Source organism: Homo sapiens, chromosome 12, assembly GCF_000001405.40.
Source record: "Homo sapiens chromosome 12, GRCh38.p14 Primary Assembly".
Taxonomy (NCBI): domain Eukaryota; kingdom Metazoa; phylum Chordata; class Mammalia; order Primates; family Hominidae; genus Homo; species Homo sapiens.
The window spans coordinates 94,896,217-94,913,663 of record NC_000012.12 but is presented as its reverse complement, the minus strand read 5'-3'; the positions used below and the strand labels follow the sequence as shown (position 1 = coordinate 94,913,663).

General features: G+C 43.4%; 1 long non-coding RNA gene across 2 annotated transcripts in view; it reads left to right on the top strand.

Annotated features, from left to right (window-relative positions):
* The window catches only part of LOC105369915 (uncharacterized), a 31,167-nt gene extending 14,595 nt beyond the window's left edge, over nucleotides 1-16,572 (top strand). Inside the window, exons 3-4 of one of the 2 annotated variants that reach the window (XR_945226.2) lie at nucleotides 3,321-3,431; nucleotides 16,354-16,572. This is a non-coding gene — a long non-coding RNA (uncharacterized LOC105369915). The remainder of the gene's footprint in view (nucleotides 1-3,320; nucleotides 3,432-16,353) is intronic. The other variant, XR_001749264.2, reaches the window with a different exon arrangement.
* Nucleotides 16,573-17,447: the final 875 nt, after the last annotated feature.

The window sequence follows — 17,447 nt, the reverse complement described above, 5'->3', positions numbered from 1 at the left end:
ATTCTATAAGCTCTTTAGTTCTTTCTATGTATTTCTCTTTTTTAAATTTTTAGTTTTTATGGGTACATAGTAGGTGTATGTACTTATGGGGTACATAGGATATTTTGATACAGGCATATAATGTATAATAATCACATCGGAGTAAATGAAGTTTTTCATGTATTTCTTTCTGCTTAAACTAGCCATGGTGAATGAATTCTATTGTCTGCAACTAAGAACCTTGATCTGTGTAATGCCCTACTAATTCCGTGCTTCCACCAGCTTTCCAACCACTTCCTGTCCCTCCTTCCCCCAGGTCTAACCTGAGGACAGAGGGGCTTGGGTGATTCAGCCCTAGAGATCAGTCGTTTGGGGGCCCCCAGGCAGGTAGAGGAGGGCAAAGGATGGTGGCAGGCATGGGGGACAAATGGAGACTAGTACAGTCCCCTTTGCAAGTGCCATCAAGCCCTGTGTCTTTCCACATGCCAGGGCAAAGTGTCTGGCCCTTATGGTGACAAGATTTGCAGTAGCTTAAGGAAAATGGAGAGACCGAAACTTTCAGCAGGGGTACAGGAGGGAAGAGCAGCCCAGCTGTGGTTTGGGGATGACTGAGGAACACTCTATCAGCTCAAGATGATGCAGAAATAAGGCCACAGCATGCCCCCTCTTTGGTAAAAGAAGGCAGGGAAAATCACCTGCTTTTTCTTCTTCACTCTATTTTGCAGTTTCTGAATGAGTTACAAACAGAGTGCAAGAAGCCGAGTCGGTGGGTGACTGTTTGGAACGCCAGTGCCTCTGTGCACTTTCTAAATATCCACATGCAGGCAGGAAAGAGTGGGCAAAGCCCGAGCAGAACTGGGGAACAGGGGAGATTCATCATTTTATACTTTTGCTTCCTCTTCCTGATTCAATATAAAATGTGAATTTTGTATTGTCTGCTGTTGCTTCAAGCAATTGCTTTCTCATTCAAACAAGCTCATGCAACTGTGGAGGCTGAGAAGCCCCACAATCTGCCATCTACAATCTGGAGAACGAGAAAAGCTGGTGGTATAGTTCTAGTTCAAACCCAAAGCCCTGAGAACTGGGGAGGCCGATGGTGTAAGTCCCAGTCTGCATCTGAAAGCCCTGAGAACTGGGGAGCCGATCCCTCAAAATACGTCTCTTTCAATATATCTGTATATATATCCTACTGGTTCTTTTCTCTGGAGAACCCTCATTAATACAAGTTTCCAGTGCATGAATATTATTAGCTTTTGCTACAGAATGGATGCTAGGTGCTTAAAGCTTTTCCCCCCCCATGAAGTTTTTTTTTGTTGTTGTTTTTTGAGACATGATGTTTTTGTTGTTGTTTGTTGTTTTCTGTCACCCACGCTGGATTGCAGTGGCATGATTTTGGCTCACCGCAACCTTCGCCTCCCAGGTTCAAGTGATTCTCCTGCCTCAGCCTCCCAAGAAGCTGGGATTACAGGTGTGCACCACCACACTCAGCTAATTTTTGTATTTTTTTTTTAGTAGAGACGGGGTTTCACCTTGTTGGGCAGGCTGGTCTCGAACCCCTGACCTCAAGTGATCCACCTGCCTCGGCCTCCCAAAGTACTGGAATTACAGGTGTAAGCCACCATGCCTGGTCTCCATGAAGTTTTGAAATAGAAAAGAACAATTCCTTCTGTTTGACTCAGATTGGGTGTGTAGATGTCTGGGGTCACAGGTTAGAAATAAAAGTTTTGAGTTTGGGCCTACTCTAACCAGACAGCATGCTCAAACATGTGAGTGCTTCCCCAGAAGGTGTCTTTTTGTAGGTTTATACTTTCTCTTGTCTCTCCTGCTAAGAGGTCTATCCCCTCTGCTGAATTATGCCATTCTAATTCCATCCTGTAAATGGTCTAAGCCTCTTGTAGTTACTCTTTAGCAATCAACTGCATTTTGGAGCCTTAAAATGCTCGTTGTCAATGCATAAATTTGGAAAACTGTTAATGCTCTTCTCCCCGAGTTTGATGTGCCAAACTCCCTGAGTTTGATGTGTTCTGTTTGGTAACATTTGATGTTCTCTCTAGTTCTGTCAACTACCAGCATGAGATGAAAGATGGGGGTAAGCGAATAAAAAACACAGATATCATGAACGTGATTTCATTGTGTCCTGCTGAATGTTGACCTTTAACAATTGCTTTATGTTTTTACAATTTAAGTCTCTGATCAGGACGCATCTTACAATCAATGACTCATTCTAATTTAATTGACAAAATCATTTTCTTTCTTAATTTTACACAAAATAATGGTCTGTCTTAAAAATGGATGACAGATAAAATAAAATATGATGTACACAGACATATTATATATACTTTCTTTTTTTTTTTTTTTTTTTTTTTTTTTGAGATGGAGTCTCGCTCTGTCACCCAGGCTAGAGTGCAGTGGTGCAATCTCGGCTCATTGCAACCTCCGACTTCCGGATTCACGCCATTCTCCTGTCTCAGCCTCCCGAGTAGCTGGGACTACAGGTGCCCACCACCATGCCCAGCTAATTTTTTATATTTTTAGTAGAGACGGGGTTTTACCATGTTAGCCAGGATGGTCTCAATCTCCTGACCTCGCGATCCACCGCCTCAGCCTCCCAAAGTGCTGGGATTACAGGCGTGAGCCACCGTGCCTGGCCAACATATTATATATACTTAAAAGATGAGCTAGAAATTTCTGCTGGCTGAATGTTCAGGAATACTCAGGTGCCATTGCTGATCTGAGTATCAAAAACCACAGAGTTAAGCACCTCCACTGGGGCACTGTCTTTATGTGGATGGAACATGCATTCTTGAACCTGGGACCCATTAATAGACACTCTGGCCTAGTGACAGTTTTGCTAATAATAATTCTGGAGGATAATATTCATTTATCCTTTGCTATGCCTGGATCTTTTTTTCTTTCCTTTTCTTTTTTTGAGATGGAGTTTCACTCTTGTCACCCAGGCTGGAGTGCAGTGGCGCAATCTCAGCTCACTGCAACCTCTGCCTCCTGGGTTCAAGCGATTCAAGCGATTCTCCTGCCTCAGCCTCCCAAGTAGGGATTACAGGTGCTCACCACCACGCCTGGCTAATTTTTGTATTATTATTATTTTTTTTTATTACAGACAGGGTTTCACTATGTTGGTCAGGCTGGTCTCAAACTCCTGACCTCAGGTGATCTGCCCACTTCAGCCTTCCAAAGTGTTGGGATTACAGGCGTGAGCCAATGGCACCCAGCCTACCTGGATCTTTTGATTGGATATACCTGGGTCTTTTTAGGAATGGGTACAGAGATATCACAGGTCCTAGTATTTGACACTTGCAATGAATGTTCAATGTTCATTCTAGGGTTCCAGAAGCAACACTTTGTTAGGAGATGCTGCAGAAGCCAGAGGATTGCCTGATGCCTCCCAGCTGAATCAGCAAAGCTTTCCTCTAATAGCGTTGCTTGATTAAGGGGTGAGTGAATTTCTGCAGAGAGGCTGAGCACTTGGTGTGGTTTGAGGGTCCCTAATAGATGTACCGAAGTGTTTGGCTACAAACTCCTCACATAATAATAATTATGTTGATGCTGCTACAGATGATTAGCCTGGGTTTTGGAAAGCTTCCTCCTTGGTGCATTCCATTCAAAAGGCCTCCTCTTCTCAGCATGTGCCTGCAAACACAATCCCCTGAAATGACAAGAGAGCATAAGAAAAGCTGCAAGCATTGCCTGTACTGGCCTTTTGAACTCATTTGGGGTTTCCATGGCAGTGGGAGTCAGGATGGATGGATTTGTTTTCCTCTCTACTTGAGCAATGAGGTTTTCATCATTTGCGGCTTGATTTGGATCCTTTAGAATAATGTCCCCCGACACATTTCCATCAGGAGCACAGGAGCAGCCAAGACATACAGGGAGACTTGCACGTGGCTTTGCGCAGGAGCCTTTTCTGCCAAATCAAACAGAGCAGAGATACAAAACACAAAAGCAAGCCATCAGAAAAGATCTGTGTGACTGGGCATGATGGATCATGTCTGTAATCCCAGTGCTTTGGGAGGCTGAGGTGGGAGGATCACTTGAAGCCAAAAGTTCAAAGTTATAGTGACCTATGATCATGCACTCCAGCTTGGGCAACAGAGCAAGACAGAGAGAGAGAGAGAGAGAGAGAGAGAGAGAGAGAGAGAGAGAAAGGGAGAAAGAGAGAAAGGGAGAAAGGAAGAAAGAAACTGTATGTAGTATCATCCTAGAGCTGTGACTCCTTAGATGGAAAGGAGTACAGGACGGAGTCTTCTGAAAGCCTGATTGTGTGCTAGGGAAGCTGAAGCAGTCTGTTCAGCTGGCACGAGACTATCTAGAAGGCTCTTTCCATTCACTCAGTACTTATTGAGCACCTACTGTGTGTACACATCCTTCCAGTCACTGAGGATATAGCAGTCAATAAAACAGACAAAATCTCTATCCACATAGATGGTCCCTTCCAGAGGATGGAGGCAATAAGTGAATAAATGAATGGATCCCATCAGGTGCTGATAAAGGATGAATGCTGTGAAAAAAATATATAAGACAGTTTAGGGGAGAGGGAATGCTCAGATGAGGATGGCATGTGGCTGTTTTATGCAGGTAGATGCGGTAATCCTCTCTGTTAGGGTGAGATTTGAGCAGGGGTTGAAGGACATTGGGTTGTGAGGCATGAGGACTTTGTGGTGGATGGAGTATGTCCCATGGGAAGAAGAGCAAGTGCAAAGGCCCAATGCAGGAGTGTGCTTGGTTTATGCAAGGACTGGCATGGAGGCCTAGCAGCTGGTGCAGGTGGGGCTGGTTATAGTGACGGGAAGTGAGGTTGGAGAGAGCTGGGGCAGGCTAAGACCATGGAGGGCTTTTCAAGTCATGGAAGATCTTGACTTTCCTCTGAAATGGGAGGCTTTGGAGAAGTTTGAGCAAAACAGTGATGTAACCTGAGTTATGTCTTAACAGGAATACTTTGCAGTATGAAGAATAGACCATGGCAGGAGGCAAGGTTGGAAGCAGGGAGACCAGGAGTCTATTGCAATGGTCCAAAATGGTAGATGTGGAGATGATGGAAGGTAGTCTGGCTCAGGAGGCATTTTGATGGTGGAACCAATGGGATGAGCTGACAGATTGGATAGTCAAGCCATAAAAAGAGAGAAGTGAGGAGTGATCTCAAGTCTTTAGGACTGCCCTATTGGAAGAATGGAATTGCCATAGATTGACCCAGGGACACTGGAAGTGAAGCAGGTTTTTGCTTTTTTAAATAAAATCTAGTTTTAGATTTGTAAACTCTGAGATGTTTATTATATATCCTAGTGGAGATGCTGAGTAGGCAGTTGTGAGTCTGAGTTCAGGGGAGAGGTCTAGGCTAGAGACATGAATTAGGGAATCATTAGCCTATAAATGGTACAAAGGGACTGAATGAAATGATCTATGGTAAGCGTGCAAATAGAGAACAGAGTTGAGGATAGAGTCCTGGGGCTCCTGCTGGCACCACTGTCCCCCCACCGCATGCCGACGGACCCTGCCTTATACTGCCTTAATGATGGAAAGCCAGGCAGAGTCTGGGATCAGGGCTTCCCGTTTCCTGGGGATTTGCTTGGAGAAGTCACAAGAAAGTAAGGTCCTCATCTGGTTGGCAGACACTTGGGTCAGGTCTGTAACCAAAACAAAGGGTCCTGTCCTCCCCCAAAAGCACCACTGCAAACATCTCCAGATGCACCACCATCCCACAAAAGCAACAATTGTAGACGGAATGCTGTCACTTCTCTAAAGAACCATCAACCTTCCACCTTTTGTCGCCTTAATACTGGGTAATTGAGAGATGGGTGGCTGTGTCCTGAGATTGATACTTGAATCTTGGCTTTGCTGCATGCCACCTGTGTAGCCTTGGGCAAGTCAACCTCTTGGAGCCTCAGTTTCCTCATGTCCACACATCTCAAGGCTTATTTCGACAATTATACGGGAGGATACACATGAAGAAGCTACTGCTGTGCCTGGCAAATCGAAGATCATTATAAAAGCAAACACTATGTGTCAGATACAATTTCATACATCTTCTATATATTTACTTAATTACCACAACAACCTTAGGAGGCAGGTGTTATTATTTCCACTTTACGGATTAGGGTAAATAATTTGGCCATCTAGTAACTCAAGGAGCCTGGCTATGGGAGTGATGATTTAACCACTGTGCTATACTGCTTCCTGTGAATACACAAAAATTTTTTCTTCTCTCTCATTTTCAAATGTTTTCATTATATGGCTTGAGTTTTCAATTCTCAGTTCTGTACTTTTTCTTGTTAGTAAGTTGCATTCATTATCTGATCCTAAGACAACTTTCATCCCTTTATACTAAAACAGGCAGTTTTATGCAATGGCAAGAAAAGAGAATTCAAATTTTCTGAAATACAAGAGATAAAGTCTCAGTGCCAGCCTACTCTGTGGGAAGCTGAGTCAGTGTAGCTGAGCACACAAAGCAAGCTGGGGATATGACTTTCTCCTTGAACAGACAGACACTGACCAAAAAGGAGAATGATGTGTTTGGAAAGCCATGAAAATCTGAATGGAGTGAGGGATTTTTATTTTAGGATATTAGGAGAAACAGAATCCATTTGTATCTGTATGTATGAGTGTAAGAACATTGATGTGAAAGTGTGTGCATGTGTGCTTGAAGGTGTGTGGGTGAGTGTGCATGCATGTGTGCTTTTGCAATATGTAATACTCACTGACTACCAAAAGAACTGACCCTGTGGGTGTCTGGCACAAAAGGATGGGCTGGGATTAATTTTCTGGTTTATGCTTCTTCAAATCATTGAGCTAGTGACACTGAGGAAAAAAAGCAATCTCCAAGGAGAAAATAAATCATGTTTCCCATGAAATAGGGCTGCCATATTAAGCAAATAAAAATACAGGACTCCCAGATAAATTTGAATTTCAGATAAACAACAAATAATTTTAAAATATAAATATGTTTTGGCTGGGTGCAGTGGCTCACGCTTGTAATCCCAGCACTTTGGGAGGCCGAGGCAGGTGGATCACGAGGTCAGGAGATCAAGACCATCTTGGCTAACGCAGTGAAACCCCGTCTCTACTAAAAATACAAAATATTAGCTGGGCATGGTAGCAGGCACCTGTAGTCCCAGCTACTTGGGAGGCTGAGGCAGGAGAATGGTGTGATCCCGGGAGGCAGAGCTTGCAGTGAGCCGAGATCGTGCCACTGCACTCCAGCCTGGGCGACAGAGTGAGACTCCGTCTCAAAAAAACAAAATAAAATAAACAAAACAAAACAACAACATATATATATATGTTTTATGTAATATTTGGGACATACTTTACAAAAAATTATTTGTTATTCAAAATTCAAATTTAACAGGGCATGCTGTGTTTTATCTGGCAACCTTACCATGAAAGAGAATGAATTAAAATACCTACTGATTTTGTAAAATCTTTAAAATCCACAGAATACTTTGTGCCAAGACCAGCCTTGTCAGGGAGACCCTAACCCAGTGGCACTAGAGGAATTAAAGACACACACACAGAAATATAGAGGTGTGAAGTGGGAAATCAGGGGTCTCACAGTCTTCAGAGCTGACAGCCCTGAACAGAGATTTACCCACATATTTATTAACAGCAAACCAGTCACTGGCATTGTTTCTATAGATATTAAATTAACTAAAAGTATCCCTTATGGGAAGTGAAGGGATGGGCCGAATTAAAGGAATAGGTTGGGCTAGTTAACTGCAGCAGGAACACGCCCTTAAGACACAGATGCTCATGCTATTGTCTGTGGCTTAAGAATGCCTTTAAGCAGTTTTCCGCCCTGGGCGGGCCAGGTGTTCCTTGCCTTCATTCCCCTAAACCCACAACCATCCAGCTTGCCCATTAGAGCCATTATGAACATGTTATGGTGCTGCAGAGATTTTGTTTATGGCAAGTCTTGGGGCCAGTTTATGGCCAGGTTTTGGGGGGCTGGCTCCCAACATTTTTGTACTAGTGAAGACCTTTGGTTCTGGGAGGGGCATCAACTCATTCTTTTCTCTTTTAGGACATTACTTAATGACTTGGCACCGCCATCTGCAAAATGGGGAAATAATCTCAATGAATGCTCTGTCCTCTCTCCAGTCAAAACCCCTGTAGATTTCATATCTGTATCCTCATGTACAATGGTATGGGGTACTTCACAGAAGTTCATTCTCCACTTCAATTAAAAAACCAATTAAGAATTTTTTCAAAGGATTGGTGATGGCATGCCTTAATAGCCAGCCAGTGTCCTGGGGTGTTCAATTTCTTCATACTTTCTCCCTCTGTTTAGCTTGCCTGGCGATAGAATTCTTCCTGTCAGGCAAGTAGCAAACTCTGGGAAGTCTCTGGAAGGAACAGGACACTGATGGGAAGGCAGGGAGAAACTTCCCATGACTTCCCAGGGAAGCTCAAAGCAGGCACCTTGAGGCCCAGGAGCCAGAGTGCATGGGATGATGTGATCTGAGGGGAGCCCTCAGTGCCTCAGGTGGGTGTCTGAACCACAGACTTCTTCCTGTCCGAAGCATCCTGTTCACTAGGATGAAATAGAATGTGGGAGTGAAGCCTCAGGCTCCCAGTAACAGTCCCTATCTATGCTCATACTGTGTCTTTTTCTAGTTGTCTGAGCTAGAATCTCTGGCCTCTGATTTTCTCATCTATAAAATGGCTGCAACACTGGTGCCTACATCAGAGTTATTTTCAAGACTAAATGGCAGCATTAATAAAACCGTGTCTGGCATTCAGGAAGCACTTTGTAAGCATTAATCATTATTATTATTGTGGCCAGAGGCTATTTCTCCTAAGAAGTTGAGTTAGAATTTGTACTAATAACCTTTTCTGAGAGTAAACACAATGCATATTCATGGAGCAATATGTAAATATAGAAAATCCACTGGCAAAACATTTAAATCATAAATGCCCCATGAGGCTGGGTACGGTGGCCCATACCTCTAATCCCAACCCTCTGGGAGTCCAAGGTGGGTGGATCACCTGAGGTCAGGAGTTCAAGACCAGCCTGGTCAACCTGGTGAAACCCTGTCGCTACTAAAAAAATAATAATAATTAAAATTTTTTAAAAATTAGCTGGGCATAGTGGCACATGCTTGTGATCCCACCTACCTGGGAGGCTGAGGCAGGAGAACTGCTTGCTCGGGAGGTGGAGGTTGTGGTGAGCCAAGATTGTGCCACTGAGCTTCCAGTCTGAGCGACAGACCAAGACTCCATCTCAAAAAAAAAAAAAAAGAGAAAAGAAAAAAAAAATGGAATGCCCCATAAAGCTATCTCTGATCTTTTTTCTCCTCCCCCCAACCCTCTCTTTATTGCTCTATATCAGAGAGAACCACCTAAAAAGCTTTTAAAAACCCGTATACCTTACCCAAAGGATTATAGATCATGCTGCTATAAAGACACATGTACACGTATGTTTATTGTGGCACGATTCACAATAGCAAAGACTTGGAACCAACCCAAATGTCCATCAATGATAGACTGGATAAAGAAATGTGGCACATATACACCATGGAATACTATGTAGCCATAAAAAGGATGAGTTCATGTCCTTTGTAGGGACATGGATGAAGCTGGAAACCATCATTCTGAGCAAAATATTGCACGGACAGAAAACCAAACACCGCACGTTCTCACTCATAGGTGGGAATTGAACAATGAGAACATTTGGACACAGGGTGGGGAACATCACACACTGGAGCCTGTCATGGGGTGGGGGGAGGGGGGAGGGGGAGGGATAGCATTAGGAGATATACCTAATCTAAATGACGAGTTAATGGGTACAGCACACCAACATAGCACATGTATACATGTGTAACAAACCTGCATATTGTGCACATGTACCCTACAACTTAAAGTATAAAAAAAAGAAACCCATGTACCTGAGACCCAAACCAGATCTAATAAATTAGAACCTCTAGGGGTGGGGCCAAAGGATCTGTATTTTTTAAGAAAACATTCTAGAACATTCTGTGGCAAAACCAGGCTTCTTGCACTCACTTGTGTGTGCTCCCCCTCTCATGGTATTTTTCAAAAATTGGACAATGTTGTACATTTGGTTTGTAGCCTGCTTTTGTCACATTGCTATATTTTCCATTGTCATTTTCTACAGTATCATATTTTTCTCTTAAGGCTTCAGCTGTGGTTTTGACAAAGCCCTAATCCACTGCTTTTCACCCAGCAGTCATCTCACAAAATGAATCCATTTAAAAACGTCATCACTCTTGTCTTTTCTTGCCCCTCTAGTCTGCCAAATTTGATGAATAGAGACCTACTCCCTGTAATTCTCTCTCCTGCTCTTGGATTTCAGCTCTTGAACTGATGGCCACTTGTGGCTCCAGCCTTCCAGTCGTCACCCTGCAGTTTTGTAGCTAACACTTGCTATGACGCTGGCTGACATGCCAGGGAGGGTTTGTACATTTTCGGTCCTAAAATATTAATTTGACATCTAACACTATTTTTCATTTAGTGCTCAGCCAACCGTGATGGTGGCTATTTCGGCTCAAAATAATCTCCAAGGACTCTTGGGGGAAAAATTTCCTTGGCCATCCAACTGACATTTTAGGAAAATAAAATAAAACACCGTTGAAAAACAAAATCTTTCATAGATGGCTGTCTCCAGTTACTGACTAATGAGAATAGATATGAGGTGAGGAAGGGCCTTTAATTAAGAAGCAAACACCCTCCCCACCCAATTTAGGCCCATCCTGCTGCCAATATTGATATTACTGAAATAAATGCAGTAGTCACAGGACATCAAATATCACCTTTCTATCTTTGGGTTGATTCTCCAACTGCTGAATGAAGCTCAAGTGATGGTTATTTCAAAACTTTTCAAAACCTTGTAAACCAGGTGTTTCTCAATAGCCCCTTGATGAAATGTGCCTTTGGTTATCATTTGTACAGAGTAGCAGGCAGCCGGGGCATATCCTGCTACTTTTTTTTTTTTTTTTTTTTTTGAGATGATGTCTCTCTCTGTCGCCCAGGCTGGAGTGCAGTGGCGCGATCTCGGCTCACTGCAACCTCCGTCTCCCGAGTTCAAGTGATTCTCCTGCCTCAGCACCCCCAAGTAGCTGGGATTAAAGGTGGGCGCCACCACGCCCGGCTAATTTTTTTTGTATTTTTAGTAGAGTCAGGGTTTCACTATGTTGGCAGGGCTGGTCTCAAACTCCTGACCTCAAGTGATCTGCCCACCTCAGCCTCCCAAAGTGCTGAGATTACAGAGGTGTGAGCCACTGTGCCGGGCCTTTTTTTTTTTTTTTTTTTTTTTTTTGAGATAGGGTCTCACTCTGTCACCCAGGCTGGTGTGCAGTAGCACAATCATGGCTCATTGCAGTCTCGACCTCCCTGGGCTCAGGTGATCCTCCATCTCAGCCTTCCAGGTACCTGGGATCTGTTCATCCACCGAACAGCTTGGGCTTCTTTGGCAATGCTTTGCTCTCCTGAGGGTGCAGTCAGTGCCGTGGCATCAGCAGCCTTTATCATCCTCAGTGTGCCTGGCCAGAGACACTGAAGTAAATGGTCCAGCTCTAGGGCTGGAGACATGCTTCTATGGCTGAGCGTGGTGGCTCACGCCTGTAATTCTAACACTTGGGGAGGCTAAAGCGGGAGGACTGCTTGAGCCCGGGAGATTGAGGCCAGCCTGGGCAACATGGTGATACCCATCTCTAAAATAATAGAAAAAAATTATTGTATTTTTTGGAGGAACGATGTGCCAGTCACTCTCTTTTTTTTTTTTTTTTTTTTTTTTTAAGATGGAGTCTTGCTCTGTCACACAGGCTGGAGTGCAGTGGCACAATCTTGGCTCACTGCAACCTCTGCCTCCCTGGTTGAAGCGATTCTCTTGCCTTAGCCTCCTGAGTAGCGGGGACTGTAGAGACAGGGTTTCACCATGTTAGCCAGGCTGGTCTTGAACTCCTGACCTCAGGCAATCCACCCGTCTCGGCCTTCCAAAGTGCTGGGATTACAGGCATGAGCCACTGCACCTGGTCGTGCCAGGCACTCTTAAGATTGAGAAAGTGTTGGAGGACAACCTCTTCTCTCTTGAGAGAGTAAATATTTTGAAGGGTGCCAGTAGGACAGTTTTCTCTCTAAGAGTAAAAGGGATAAAGATTATTAGATGAAGCTTATGAAATCAGCCGGGGTGTGCAAGCCTGAATTTCTTTCATCGAAGGCATTAGGAGCAGGAGTCTTAAATATGTAGAAACCTTTTTTGTTTTGTTTTGTTTTCTTGTTTTTGAGACAGGGTCTCACTCTGCTTCCCAGTCTGGAGTGCGGTGGTGTGATCTCACCTCACTGCAGCCTTGACCTTTTCAGCCCAAGTGATCCTCCTATCTCAGCCTCCTGACTAGCTGGGACTATAGGTGCATGCCACCACACTCAGCTATTTTTTTGTTGAGATGGGGTTTTGCCATGTTGCTCAGGCTGGTCCCAAACTCCTAAGCTCAAGTGATCCACCCACCTCAGCCTCCCAAAGTGCCGAGATTATAGGCTTGAGCCGCCAGGCTGGCCTGAATATGTGGAAACATTTTATGGCAGTGGTGAAGAATGTGGGTGTTGCAGTCACCCAGTCTTGCAAGTTCTTCCACTTACCAACGGGTTATTTAGTATCTCCCAGCCTCAGTTTCTTCCCATATATAATGGGGATAGGTACGACTTCACAGGGTAGGAACTAAATGAGATAATTGCATGCACTGAGTTGGGTACATACCGTGCTGGTTTTCCATGGCTCATGTGCCATGAAGGGAAGGCTTCCTTCCCTTCACAAGGGAAGGAAGTGAAAGTCTCAGCCCAAGCTGAGATGGGGTGATTTGTTGTCAGGGATGGTAGAAGCCTTTGTCTGAGGGGCCGTATTGCTCAGATCTCTGTCTGTGCCAGTTAAGGTCCCTATGGCCTTGGCTGAGGCTGGCCCACCAAGTGCCATGGTTCAGTGGTTTTCCAAGCCAGAGCAGGTATTGTCCTGCTCTGGTTGATTGTTCAGTGAGGCCTGAATGATCACAGAAGTGGTTCTGGGGTCTGCCAAATTGAAGACTGCTTCTCTTCTCTGAGGCAGTTTGTACTGTGGTTCTTTTTGATTTCACATAATAGAAGTTGTAGGATCCCAGGAGGCAGAGACCAGCCAGAAGAGTTTTGCACTTGCCTGATCTCCTATCTTATCAGATGCACCACTCCCGCTGCTCCTGTCTTCAGCCCAAATAGTGGCTTCTTTAGTTGTGCAAACCATCCTCACCCCTGGGGTGGTATCTCCCACTTGGTGTTGATGGCAGACACCAGAGCTGTCGCTCAGAACCCAACCAAATCTTTGCAAGCGCAACAAAGTGACCGTGCCAAGCAAGGAAGGCTGGCTAACTGCTTTTATTTGTTTCCTAAGAGCAGAAATCAAGGACTAATAGTGACATCTAATTTCAACTCTCCTACCTGGACACAGTTTCTTCCCACGCCTTAATAGAAATAAGAAAAATAGGCAAAAGTGATTTCTATTTTATTTTATTTTTGCAGGGGATGGAGTCTCACTCTTTTTGCCCAGGCTGGAGTGCAATGGCGTGATCTTGTCTCACTGCAACTTCTGCCTCCTGGGTTCAAGTGATTCTTCTGCCTCAGCCTCCTGAATACCTGGGATTACAGGCACGCACCATCACACCCGACTAATTTTTGTATTTTTAGTAGAAATGGGGTTTCACCATGTTGGCCAGGTTGGTCTCAAACTCCTGACCTCAAGTGATCCACCCGCCTTGGCCTCCCAAAGTGCTGGGATTACAGGCATGAGCCACTGCACCCATCCAAGAGTGATTTTGAAACAAACAGTGATTTTAAGCAGAGAGTTTATGTATCTATGTTATTTCTCCTTGTTGCCAATAGGTAGCCCGTCTCTGGGAAGGGGACCTTAGATTTTGTATGTCATTTAAAAACAATAGATTTTGGTTTCAATCTGTTAGTTTCTCCTATTTTTCATGAGCTATGCTTTCTGGATAATATTTTTCCCTCTGGCTGCTTTCAAGATCTTGTTTTTACCATTTTCAATACAATGTGTGCAAATATAGTTTTTTTTCTATATGTTTTGCTTAGGATTCACTGTGATTTCTAAATCTAAGGATTCATATATTTCACGAACTCTGGAAGATTCTCAGCCAGACTGTTTATCCTATACTGTTTCCTACAGTCTGGATTTTGTTCATTGCATCGCCTAAAGTGTTGTTTAATATGTTCCTCTGTCCCTTATAGTTCCTATAATTTGACAGTTAAATCTAGAGGCTTGGTCTGACTCAGTTTGATTTTTTTGCAATAATACATTACAGGGTTTATTGTGAACTTCACCAGGAAGCACATGATGTCTCTCTTTATGTGTTCCTAACAGCTGCTGGTGATCATTGTCTAGATCCTTCATTTCATTAGGGTTTGTTTAGTGGTGCTATTCCAGTCTTTTCATGTTCTTTTATTTTGGGATAGAGTCTTCATGTGGGTTTGCTGCATCAAAGGGTAAATGCATGTATAATTTTGCCTGATATTGCCAAATTACCCTTTATAGAAGTTATACCATTTTGCATTCCTGCTGATAATGTATAAGAATGCCTATTAGCCCTTGGAATGGCCAACAGAGAGAGTATGTTATCTAATATTATATTTCTGCTTATCTGATGATTGAGAAATGGTGTCTTAGTGTGGTTTTCATCTGCATTTATCTTATTATAACTGGAGTTCCTTTGTCTCCTTCATAGTTCTGATATTTGTCCTTCAGAAGCTAGTAGCATATTCTTAAAAAGATTAGGGATAGAGCATAAGGCTATAGGAGAATCTAATGGAATAGGGGATGACAGCTTAGGTGGCTAAGCCACCTAATACTATTAGGAGCAGAAAGCAGGTATCCAACTACCAAGACAACCAGATTTACTCATTCCCAATTGTCATTTAGACTTAGCATTGCATTACCATTTTTTCCCCTTGACCTTTACATGTAATGTTAAATAATCCAACATGTTATTGTGTGTTATGCAGGGCTCTCAGAAAGGTATAGAAAGGCTGCTTCCCAGGATGGAGCAGTTGTCTCAGGCGCCAGCTGCAAGTGCAGTCATGGATGGGGATTGCCTGCAGGGAGCAGCAAACCCTTCCAGCTACATGCTCAGAGCCTGGAGCAGCATATCTGCTTAGCAGGAGTAAGATTGCTTTGTTTCCAACTGGACTAGAGATGTCACAGGAAGTTTCTTTTTAATAATCCTCAGCACAAAAGTCTTCTTTAGAATAGTCACAAAATTCTGGAGATGTGTTCAAGGTTGATAGAATTTGGCACCAACGAGAGGTCATATCAGCAAGATCCCAAAACTTCCAGGAAATCTGTTGTTGGAGACATCCAGGGTTGATCCCATGAAGATTTGGTTTCTAAATTCCAAACTGAATGATGCTGTTGCTGGCATTGGTCAAGGGCAACTGTGAGAGTAAAATTATTATGTCATTATTATCAATAAATATTTATTGAGAACTTACTATGCACAGGGTGCATGGGTATCTATGCAGCCCATTGATGATCTTATTTTTTATTTTTGAGACAGAGTTTCACTCTTGTTGCCCAGGCTGAAGTTCAATGGCTTGATCTGATCTTGGCTCACTGCAGCCTCTGCCTCCCAGGTTCAAGTGATTCTCCTGCCTCAGCCTCCCAAATATCTGGGATTACAGGCATGTGCCACCACACCCAGCTAATTTTGTAGTTTTAGTAGAGATGGGGTTTTACCATGTTGGTCAGGCTGGTTTTGAACTCCTGACCTCAGTTGATCCACTTGCCTTGGCCTCCCAAACTGTTGGGATTACAGGTATGAGCCACCACGCCCGGCTGATGATCTGATTGATAATAGAAAGATGATGAGAGATGATGGTGAGAGAGATTTTTAAGGAACACTGTGTTCCCTTTAGCAGGAAGGTATTAGGTATTACATTATATCAGGTATTATATACAATGCATCTATACATATAATACATATAATATATAATACAATATATTATATTGTATTAGGTAATTATAAATAATCTAGAGATGATTTAAAGTATATGGGAAGATATGCATAGGTCATATACAAATACTAAATCATTTTATATCAGAACTTAGGCATTTTAGCATATGTAAGAGGTTCTGGAACCAATCCCTCTAAGATACCAAGGGACAACCATATAGAACTTCACATGCAGAATGGTTACACATACGCCTTACTGTTTTCCTCTTCATAGATTCTATAATTAGGGAAGACCACCTGGTTAATTCATTGATCACTAACCACCTTAGAGTTCCTCGTAGAGGGTTTCTCCTTCTTAGCTGTGATTAGGATCCAAGTTTTGATGCATATTGAAAAAGTGTACTAGCTTGTCTTTTTCTTCTAGGTTTTGCTTCCCAAGGAATGGCCTTACTGTTCAAATTCAGATGCACTAGGCAAGTTCAGAAGACAAGAGTGAAGATGAGACGCCAACAGCCTCACACTGAGGACGATTCTTTCTCCAGCTCCCCACTGCACAAGCAAGCTTGGTATTCATCAATATGACATGGTCTGGAAGTTTTCCTGTATATTCATCAGCTTGGGTTACTAAACAAAGTACAAAATACTTAGTGGCTTTAGCAACATAAATTTACTTTCTCAGAGTTCTGGGGGCTGGATCTGGGTGCAGCATGGTTGAGTTCTGGTGAGGCCTCTCTTCCTGACTTGCAGACAGCTGCCTTCCCACTGTGTGCTCGCATGACCTTTCCTTGGGACTCACATGCAGAGAGAGAGCTCCAGTATCTCTTCTTTTTGCATGGACACCAGTTCTGTTGGATTAGGGCTTCGCCCTTATGACCTCATTTAACCTTAGTCCTCCTTAAAGCCCCTATTTCTGGTACAGTCACATGTGGGATTAGGGCTTCAACATATGAATTTAGGGAGAAGGAAGACAACTCAGTCCCTAGCATCCTGGGATCTACATACTGGAGGATACAGTCCACGTCTGACAAAAATCTCAGGGTTCCAGAAAACATTTCATGCTTGAAAATGGTTGCCAGAAATATTTGAAATTCTGAGTAAGTGGAATTTAAAGGGAAAGACTTTATCTTTAGATTCTAAGCTCCAGAAGGGCAGGGACTGTGCCTCAGTATTTCAGCACAGAGCACAGCAGCAGGCCCTGATAAAGGTGAATTCAGTAAAGGCAGCCCTTCCTGAAGATAGAAGATTAGTAGTTTGCAGGACTGTTACTGTATTGCCTTCACTTGGCCCCTGTTAGGAAACCAGAGGGAGGGTAAGAGGGCTTCTGTCACCACTGAAGATTGACTAGCCTGGAATTTTCCAGAGGTTTCCAGAATTTTCCCAGTTTCCTGCCACCCCTTCCCTATTCTGGTTCTGCTTCTGAGGACACAGCTGCCAGCTTTTGGCTCTGATGCTCTGTTTGCACTGTCCTGAGAGAAATAAAATTTTCCACTCAGGATCTAGTAAAATAAAAATATTTTA